This window comes from Homo sapiens, chromosome 4 (genome assembly GCF_000001405.40).
Source record: "Homo sapiens chromosome 4, GRCh38.p14 Primary Assembly".
Classification (NCBI taxonomy): domain Eukaryota; kingdom Metazoa; phylum Chordata; class Mammalia; order Primates; family Hominidae; genus Homo; species Homo sapiens.
Window position 1 is genome coordinate 105,097,187 of NC_000004.12, and position 11,477 is coordinate 105,108,663.

The 11,477-nt window shown below is 36.9% G+C and overlaps 1 pseudogene; it reads right to left on the bottom strand.

Moving 5' to 3' along the window:
* Window positions 5,510–6,835, bottom strand: LOC100288146 (nucleoporin Nup43-like; annotated as a pseudogene).

Below are 11,477 nucleotides of genomic sequence, written 5' to 3' on the forward strand. Positions count from 1 at the left end.
AAATTTATTTGAGAAGATCCTCATGACCTTGACTTAGGCAATGATTTATTTGACCCAAACCACCAATGACAAAAAATAATAATGATAAATTGGACTTTATCGAACTAGCAAACTTTTGCTCTTTGAGTGCTACTATCACACAAATAAAAAGACAACTCTGATGGTTAATTTTATAAGACACTTTTCTAGATCATGGTACTCTGTTGTTTGGTCAAACATCAATCTGGATGCTGTTGTGAAGGTATTTTTTAGATATGATTGATATTTAAAGCAGTAGACTTTAAGGAAAGCAGATTTATCCTTCATAAAGCAGGTGGGCTTTATCCAATCAACAGAAGTCCTTAAGAGAAAAGGGTCCTGGGAAAATGAAGAAATTTTGTTTCTAGACTACATTCATATTCAAGACTGCAACATCAACTCCTGACAAAATTTTCAACCTGTCAGCCTGCCCTACAGATTTCAGACTTACCAGCCCACACAATCATATGGATCATTTTATAAAACAATCTCTCCCTCGGCCGGGAGCAGTGGCTCACATCTGTCATCCCAGCACTTTGCGAGGCAGAGGCAGGCGGATCACGAGCTCAGGAGATCAAGACCATCCTGGCCAACATGGTGAAACCCCGTTTCTACTAAAAGTAAAAATAAAAAATTAGCTGGGTGTGGTGGCGCGTGCCTGTAGTCCCAGCTACTCAGGAGGCTGAGGCAGGAGAATCGCTTGAACCTGGGCGTTGGAGGTTGCAGTGAGCCAAGATCACCATTGCACTCCAGCCTGGCGACAGAGCAAGACTGTGTCTCAAAAAAAAAAAAAAACAAAAACAAAAAAAACTCTCCCTCTCTGTTTCAACCTCTCTCTCCAGATATGTGTGTATGTATGCATAATGCTAGAAGATACTGCAAGTTTGATTCCAGGCTACAGCAATAGAGCAAATATCACAAATAAAGCAAATCACATGAATATTATGGCAGACATATTCCCCAGTATATATAAAAGTTATGTTTACATTCTACTTCGGTCTATTAATGAGCAGTAATGTTATATATCAAACATGTACATACTTTAATTTTAAAATAGTACTTAAAAGTTCTAACAATCATCTGAGCCCTCAGGAAGTCATAATCTTTGCTGGGGAAGGGTCTCGACTCCATGTTGATCACTGCTGACTGATCAGGATGGTGGTTGCTGAGGATTGGGGAGGTGGTGGCAATTTCTTAAAATAAGACAACAATGAAGTTTGCTGCATTAATCGCCTCCTCCTTTCACAAAAGATTGCTCTGTTGCATGTGATGCTGTTTGATAGCATTTCCATTTCCCTACAATAGAAGCTCTTTCAAAATTGGAGTCAACTCTCTCAAGTCCTGCTGCTGCTTTATCAACTAACTTTATGTAAAATTCTAAGTCCTTTGTTGTCATTTCAACAGTTTACAGCGTCTCCACCAGAAGTATATTCCATGTCAAGCAACCACTTTCTTTGCTCATCTATAAACAACAGTCCTTCATTCATTCAAGTTTTACCATCAGATTACAGCAATTCATCCACTGAAGTGGAATCTTCAGAATCCACTAATTCTAGTTCTCTTGCGGCTTCAACCACATCTGCAGTTACATTCTCCACTGAAGTCTTCAACTCCTAAAAGTCATCCTTGAGAGTTGGCATCAACTTCTTCCAAACTCCTGTTAATGTTGCTATTTTGACCTCCTCCTGTAAACAACAAATTTTCTTAATGACATCTAGAATGGTGAGCTCTTTCCAGAAGATTTTCAATTTATATTGTCCAGATTCATCAGAGGAATCACTATCTATGGTAGCTATAGGCTAACAAAATGTTTTTCTTAAATAAGACTTGAAAGTGAAAATTACTCCTTGATCCAGGGGTTGCAGAATGAATGTTGTGTTAACAGGCATGAAAACATTATTCTCCTTGCACATCTCTCTCAGAGATCTTGGGTGACCATGTGCATTGTCAATGAGCCGTAATATTTTGAAATAAGCCTCTTGAGTAGTGGGTTTCAACAGTGGGCTAAAAATATTCAGTAAACTGCCGGGCATGTTGACTCATGCCCAAAGTGCCTGTAATTCCAGCACTTTGGGAAGCCAAGGCAGGTGGATCACCTGAGGTCAGGAGTTCAAGACCAGCCTGATCAACATGGTGAAACCCTGTCTCTACTAAAAATACAAAAATTAGCTGGTCATGGTGGCACATCCTGTAATCCTAGCTACTTGGGAGGCTGAGGCAGGAGAATTGCTTGAATCTAGGAGGTTGAGGTTGCAGTGAGCCGAGATCACACCATTGAATTCCAGCCTGGGCAACAAGAGTGAAACTCCTTCTAAAAGGAAAAAAAAAAAAAGTCAGTAAACCATGCAGTAAACAGATAGGCTGTCATCCAGGCTTTATTGTTCCATTTATAGAGCACAGGCAGAGTAGATATAGCATAATTCTAACAGGCCCTAGGATTTTCAGAATGGTAAATGAGCTTTGGCTTCAACTTGATGTCACCAGTTGCATGAGCCCCTAACTAAAAAGACAGCCTGTCCTTTGAAGCTTTGAAACCATGCGTTGACTTCTCCTTCCTGGCTATGAAAGTTCTAGATGGTATCTTCTTCCAATGTAAGGCTGTTTCATATACACTGAAAATCTGTTGTTTAGTGGAGTCAACTTCATCAATTATCTTAGCTAGATGTTCTGGATAACTTGTTGCAACTTCTACATTAGCACTTGCTGCTTCACCTTATACTTTTATGTTATGAAGATGGCTTCTTTCCTTTAACCTCATGAACCAACCTCTGCTAACTTCCAACTTTTCTTTCTTTTCAAAGAAAATAAACTTCAGATCTACTAAATAATTAAATTCCAAATGTAATCATTGTATGTAAAAAAATGAAACCATAGAATAGAAGGAATTGCTGTTTAACATTTATATAAACCTAGGATAGGGACAGCATGATGCCAGGAAAAGGAATTGTAATGAAAGAAATTGATTGTTTTTACCACAAAATGCAAACTTCTATAAAAAGCACCACCAGTAAATCCAAAAATAAATTGAAAAACACTTGTATCATATAACCAAAGGCAAAAATCTTCATATATAAAAAGATACTGTAAATTAATAAGAACATTCCAAACTACCTCAACAAATGAAAATGGCTAAAGATAAGCAAGTTTTTTTGTGTGTTTTTTTTGCTTGTTTGTTTTTGAGACAGAGTCTTGCTCTGTCGCCCAGGCTGGAGTGCAGTGGTGCAATCTCAGCTCACTGCAACCTCCGCATCCCAGTTCAAGAGATTCTCCTGCCTCAGCCTCCCAGATAAGCAAGTTTTAAAAGAAATACAGATTAAATAGACATTATAGCATTAATCATAACAGTGAGAAGCTAGAAACATGAAATAATCAATAATAGGCAAACAACTGAAATAAATGATACACATACCTATACCTTTGAATATTAAGTAGCAGTTCTTCAAAATGATAATAGAAAAAAATGTGTTTACCAAATGTACAAGAAAAAACAAACCTGTTAGAAACTGGGCAAAGGACACAAACAGACACTTCTCAAAAGAAGATATTCATGTGGGCAACGAACATATAAAAAAAAGCTCAACATCACTGATCATTAGAGAAATGCAAATCGAAACTGCAATGAGATACCATCTCAGGCCAGTCAGAATGGTGATTATTGAAAAGTCAAGAAACAACAGATGCTGGTGAGGTTACAGAGAAATAGGAACACTTTTACACTGTTGGTGGGAGTGTAAATTAGTTCAACCATTGTGAAAGACAGTGTGGCAATTCCTCAAAGACCTAGAGGCAGAAATACCATTTGACCCAGCAATCCCATTACCGGGTACACACCCAAAGGAATATAAATAATTCTATCATAAAGATACATGTGCACATATGTTCATTGCAACACTATTCACCATAGCAAAAACATAGAATCAACCCAAATGCCCATCAATGATAGACTGGATAAAGAAAATGTGGTACATATACACCATGGAATACTATGTACTCATAAAAAGGAACAAGATCATGTCTTTTGCAGGGACATGGATGGAACTGGAAACTGTTATCCTCAGCAAACTAACACAGGAACAGAAAACCAAACACTGCATGTTCTCACTTATAAGTGGGAGCTGAATGATGAGAACACATGGACACATTGGGGGAACAACACACACTGGGGCCTGTCAGGGAAGTAGAGGGGGAGGGAGAGCACCAGGAATAACAGCTAATGGATGCTGGGCTTAATTCCTGGGCGATGGTTTGATCTGTGCAGCAAACCACCATGGTACACGTTTACCCATGGCACAGACTTGCACATCCTGAAAATGTACCCCAAAACTTAAAATAAAAGTGGAAGAAAAAAAAAGATTAGAGTTTGTTCAATGTGTAAAACCAATTAAAAAATAATCTATATCTTAAAAAAATGTGTTTACTGCTAGGGAATGTGCATTCCCAACAATAGCATAGATGTTTTCATTTTTTATAAAAAATTATATATATTGACAGAAAGGAATATGAAAATAATATTGTCTATTTGAAATTGTATTTAAAATTTTCTTTTGACTGTATTTGCTTTTTCTGCAATGAATTGCTTTCATAGTAAAAAAAGTCTTTTAAAAATTAGTCCCAGCAATAAAACCATAGACAGATAAAAAATCCAGCAATCCCTGAGGTAAGGTGGCATTTTAAAAATCGAAAATATTTATTTGGACAGAAAAGCAAAACTTTACCATAATTATGAATACTGTAATTATAAAGTAAATGAACACTTCAATCATGTAACAGTTGTGATTTATTATTAAGGTTTTAGGTCTATAATACATTTAAAATTTAATGAACTTTGGAAAGACAATATCATAAAATTGTCTTAAAACACTACATTAAGTCATTATTAACATTGCAGATAAAGATGGCAAAATTCTTTACTCTTACCACATCATCATATAATTATCACATTTGTTATCAAATTTTAGTTTGGAAGTCAGTCCACTTATCAATATCAAATTCTACTTTGTTGCACAATGTCCAGTTTAGCAATTTTCAACTATGTTGTGAAATTCAAGAAAAATAAAGTTGGGTCTAAGCAGTTGACAAGAGTTCTGCTTGAAAACCTATTCTTACAAAAGAACTTGTCAAAACATTTTTATCTTTAAAAATTTTTAAATGCAACTATTAATGTTTCACTTTTGCTCTACTCAATTTTGCCTGAAAAAGTTTATTAAAATTATTAAGGAAATAAAGTGTAGAAGGATTATAGAAAATATTTTCAATAAAAAGAATAATCATTAACACTGGTAATTGCCACTAGGAAGGAGTATACATACTGATAAAAATTATAGAAACCTGTTGGTGGTTCCCATAACTACCACTGATGTTAAGTCCCACAACATCAAAAATGAAGAAATAGTTCCATGAGCTGTCAATAATTGTCTGAAGGCAATGTATTATTCATCAGCACCAGAATCCCTCTGAAGTTCTTCCACATGTTCACAATTTTTTACCATTGGTCATCTATCAAATACTGCAACTGTTCTGGGAATATCCAACTAACAAAAGCCAAAGCTGGGCATTGACACTAACGGTAGCTTACTGATGTTTCCCCTGCAAATCTCACATTTTCTGATAATAAAATTTTGCACAAAAGGTAGAATGCAAAAGGCTGATTATACATTTATCTAAAATCTTATAATTACAGTAGTTTCTGAAAAAAGTTGTCCAGTAGTATAAATTGCTTCTGCATCAGTTCCACAAATAAGACAAGGACCAAAAACATCCAAACGGTTCACAGACAGGGTTGAGAAGTAACCTTGTGATTTCAATTTGGTCTTTTGTAGGATCAGTGCTGAGCCAAGAACTTTGAGAGACTGGTGAACATTAGCTTGGTTACTAATGCTATGGGACAAAAAAGTTCTAGCTCTTCCTCCTTGTTGAAAGAGTGATGGTACATCTGTGGAAACATCCCAGTGCCAGAGGAATTCATCTTCAGAACAATAAATGGAGGATCTGGGTTGGATAGGTGAAAGTGAACTTCCTACATTTTAGCTCTGTAAGCCTTCAGCAGAGATACAGGCATAGTACCTTGTCTAACATTCCAAATACTCAACATTCCATCCTGGCCACCAGTAGCTATAACATGCTGTTTGATGAGATTTCTATCAACACAATGGACTGGCACTCAGTCACCAGTCATGACAATATCTGAGAAGGCTCATTTCCTTGTTGTGTGAAATCCCACGTTTTTAACTGTCCAATCGAATTTACAGTAAGAATCTCTCAGGAGTTCGAAGAAAGATTACAGCATGGAGTATACTACTATCTGCATTGCCTACAGTTCTTACAGCTTCCTTGTGATAAGCTTTGAAGAGATTTATTCAACCATCATCTCCAACATTAATGATTTCTGGGCTGTTGCACACAACACCTGTACATGGTGCCCTGCTACACGAAGGACTTTCTGGGCCTATGTGGTAGTGAGCTGTAGTTCACAGCTGGTTGACTGAAAGAGTCTGGTTATTCGGATGATGAAGGAAAACTGATACACATCCTGTTGATGAAGCAGCTACAATTCTTTCCTGGTCAGACAACTGTCAATCCATTATATCACCATGGTGTCTAATATCACACAATAATTGATTGTCTCCTTCAAACCCTCTATCAGAGTCCAAGTTTCCAAAATCTCCCATAGACCGCAGTGAAACATAATTTTCCCCATTGTCCTAAGAGCCCATAGTGAACATCTCTGTGGTCTTCAAGTGCCCCAGAGGACTGGTCACCAGCAGGTTTTGCAGATTTTCTGAGACACAAACAGCATACAGCAGGTACAGCAAGAAGCAAGCACTGCTTCCAACTTCTCTTCTGCAGCTTCCTCACCTCTCTCAGTCTTTGTAGAATTGAAGAGAGTTAGGGTCTTGCTCTGGATTAGGCTTTGGCTTAAGGGAATGTTGTGGCTGGCTTGGTCTTCTATCCAGACCAACTACAACTTTCTCCACATCAGCATTAAGGCTGTCTCCTTTTTTTCATTATTTTTCATGTGTTCACTGAAGCAGCACTTTTAATTTCCTTCAAGAACTTTTCCTTTGCATTCACAATTTGGCTAACTCTTTGGCACAGTGGCCTAGCTCTCAGCCTATCATTGTTTTTGACCTTCCTCTCTCAGCAAATTTAATTATTTCTAGCTTTTAATTTGAAAAGAGAGGCGTGCAACTCTTCCTTTCACTTGAACACTTAGAGGCCATTGTACGGCTATTTCAATATTATTGTGTTTCAGGGAATAGGGAGGCCTGAGGAGAGTGAGGGAGATGGGGGAATGGGTGGTTAGTGGAGCAATCAGAACATACACAACCTTTGTTGATTAAGTTTGCCATCTTTTATGGGTATGGTTCATATAGACCCCAAAAATTACAATGCTATCATCAAAGATCACTTATCATAGATTACTATAACAGATATAATAATAATAATAATAAAGTTTTAAATATTGTGAGAATTACCAAAATGTGACACAGAGACACAAAGGGAGCATATTGCTGTTGGAAAAATGGCATTAATAGAATTGCTTGCGGCAGGGTTGCCACACAACTTCACCTTGTGAAAAATGAAAGCTCTGTTCAGTATAATAAAGCAAAGCACAATAAATGGAGGTATGCCTGTGTGTGTGTGTGTGTGTGTGTCCTATTGGTTTTCTTTCTCTGGAAGACACTAATATAACAACCTAAATAATAGAAGAAAATATTTGTAAATTATTAAAGGTGACTTTTATCTAGAATATATTTTTAAAGTCTTACAACTCAGTGATAAAAAGACATCCTAATTTTTAAAATTTTTTTAATATACTTTAAGTTCTAGGGTACACGTGCACAATGTGCAGGTTTGTTACATAAGTATACATGTGCCATGTTGGTTTGCTGCACCCATCAACTCGTCATTTACAATAGGTATTTCTCCTAATGCTATCCCTCTCCCAGCCCCCCACCTCCTGACAGGCCCCGGTGTATGATGTTCCCCGCCCTGTGTCCAAGTGTTCTCATTGTTCAGTTCCCACCTGAGTGAGAACACGTGGTGTTTGTTTTCTGTCCTTGTGATAGTTTGCTGAGAATGATTGTTCTAGCTTCATCCATGTCCCTACAAAGGACATGAACTCATTCTTTTTTAAGGCTGCATAGTATTCTATGGTGTATCTGTGCCACATTTTCTTGATCCAGTCTATCATTGATGGACATTTGGGTTGGTTGCAAGTCTTTGCTATTGTGAATAGTGCCGCAATAAACATATGTGTGCATGAAGACATACTAATTTTTTAAATGAGCAAAGGGTTAAATATACCTTTCTCCACAGAATATATATGAACTGCCAATAAGGACATGAAAAGTACATTATTAGTAGTAATTAGGAAAATGCAAAGCAAAACCACAATATAACACTTCACATTAACTAGGATGACTAAATTCAAGAAGACAGCAATAACAAATATTGGCGAGAATGTGGAGAAATTGTAACACTCATATATGTTGATGTGAATGTAAAATGATGCGACCATTTTGGCAAATAGTTTGGCAGATGACTGTTTACTCTTAAATATGGAGTTATTATATGATCCAGCCATTCCATTCCTTGGTATGTACCCATGAGAAGTGAAGACATGTCCACATAAAAATTGGTACATAAATGTTTATAGTAGCATTATTTGTATTAGCCAAAAACTGGAAACAACCAAAATGTCCATCAACTAATGAATCGATAACTAATACATGGTATATCCATACAATAGAACATGGTTTGAAAATTAAAAGGTGAAAGAAGTTACTGTCTGCTGCTAATGTTTCCACTACAGATACAAGAAAAAGTCTCTTCACACTTTCTGTCTGTCTGATTGTAGCAGCCTGAGATTGAATAGAGGAATACAGGAGGGAAAACCCAGAAAGAGAATTTTTACGGCTCAGGAATAATCTTGTAAACACTAAAGAGCCTGTTTTACTACAAAGAAAATCCTAAAATTTGGTTTACATGAGAAGTGTTGGGAAATAGCTCCTCCTATCCTAACCTAGCTGGTTACATTTGTAAGAACTTAAAGGCTAAAGCTAATTAAAAGCAAGCCAATAATAAAAAGAAAAGGAAGAACATAAAAAGGAATGAAATTCCAATACATCTTACAACTTGAATAAAACTTGAAAGCATTATGTGAAGTGAAAGAAGTCAGTAACAAAAAAACAAATATTGCATGATTCCATTCATATGAGATGTCCATAATAGTCAAATCTATAGAGACAGAGAGTTGATTAGTGGTTACTAACAACTGGGTTGGACAGTGAAGAGAGAAGTGTAAGGAAGGGTGAATGACTGGTAATAGGTATCAAGTTTCTTTTTGGGGTGATGAAAATGTTCTAAAGTTACATAATAGTGACCTCATTCCATCTTACTTGCCATCTATCTTCATAAATAGCCCTGCTTGTGTTTTTGCCAGTTTCCTCCCTCCCCAGCTTCTACTTTGATCTTTCTATTCCTCTTGTTTCTTCTAGTCTTGCATCATAATCCAAGCTCCAAGCACAAAAACAAATTATCTGTTCCCAACCTCTTTGAATCAGAAGCATTAGCAATTATATGAACCATCATTTGCCTTGGGTCCACCAAACCAGCCCCAATTCCTGTGGCCAAATCTGCGGATACAGTTATTTGGAGTTTGGAATTTATACCTTCACAACTCTATGGTTAGGTTCTGTGAATTGCAGAGAGTCTAATCAACTCATGATGTAGCTAAAAATATACCATCCAAGAACTGAGTTACAAGTCCCTGTTATCTTTCAGTCTGACTTACTGGAGACTCTGAAGGAGGGAAACCAGAGGAACAGCAGCTTTTACATCCAGGAAGATGGTGCTCATGACAACAGCCATCCATACATAGTTGTCCAGAAAGCATGTTGCCAGTGTGAGCTAAAATTTCTTTCCTAAATACCCAAAATGGCACATCTATCCTTCATTTGCCCTGGTAGAAGAGCTTACGTAACCAGAGAAATGGTTCTAGTTTCCTGTTTCAGAACTTTGGAAAAAGCTTCTTAGAAAATATGAGGAACAAGGACTTATTTTCTGTCTTAGTATGCTGTTCTATGGGATGATAGATGTAATCTGTGTTTCTTAATCCTTGTTCCCACTTTTGATGCCAAACAAAGTAACAATGGTTGACACTGAATGTGGACTTTTGAGGCTGTCTGACTCCTCCTAAGAGGCTGACTCTACCTCTTCCTCTTTATTTGCTGGTTATTTTAATATGACTATAGAATCTGTTCTAACTAGATAATGAATAAGAGAGCGGAAGGAACAAGGACATAAATTTGCAAAAACTAAAAAAATATGAAGTGCACAAGGAAATTGATTGAAGCCACCAATGCCAGGGAATAAATCCTATGCTACTTCACCATCAGTGTGCCAGCAGGGTATTGATTTCTGGATGCACGATGGGGAAATTAGTGCCGGCTCCAGTACGGTTGTGCAGCAGTAACAGCTCAAGGAGTATCTGGGGAGACCTTAATGACTAAGAGAGCTTTGGGAACTTTCTCTGGGAATTTTAAAAATAAAAGTAGTATAATTCTTCATTAAATTATAAGTAGTTGAAATATCTGCTTTTGGAAAAGCCATAAATATAAAAAAGTCTCATTTGATCCAGAAAAAGGTCCCAGGATTGAGATATAATTCCTCAGAAGTCAGCCAAGAGTGAGGAGAACAAGCTTTGTACTTTTAAATAAACTATCTCCCATGGGCCCTAAATGGACACAGCATCTGCAGTCCCCAAAAATGTACATACTTGATAGAGAACAATATATTACATATATTTCATAAATGCATAGAAAGTTTTAGAAACAATTAGATTAAAAACAGACTGTGTTCCAAAATGCCTTTGTATGTCAGTCAATTGGAATTAGAAAACTTTTTCCCCACTAAATCCATAGTTCATGTTCCCAGGTGAATCCTAGAAATTCTACTTAAACCATATGCAGTTGAAAATGTGGACTAAGTCCCAAGTCCTTTGGGTTCTAAGCCACTGTGACCTCTGAGGGTAGGGACCAGAAAAAGAGAAGCTTTCACAGTAGCCCAGGAATATGGTTCCTATGGCAGCAGACATAGATAGATAGATAGATAGATAGATAGATAGATAGATAGATAAACAGGTTAATGAATGGATGCACAGCAAAGTATACATGCTATCCAAATCCCAACATGACATGTTGAACCTAAATTTTTTCTATTTTATTTTTTAAAAAATTAACGTAATGCAATTTTAAATAAAATTGCTGCATATTCAGAGTTTCCTTTTTCCATTTCAATGCTTATTTTCCTTTATAAAACTAAAATGCAGATCTTTTATCCAGTAGCACTTTTATCTGTGGCCCAAGGACCCCACCAATAATTTAACACATATCATCCTTTAAACGTAAAAACAGCTGGGTGCAGTGGCTCATGCCTATAATTCCAACATTTTGGGA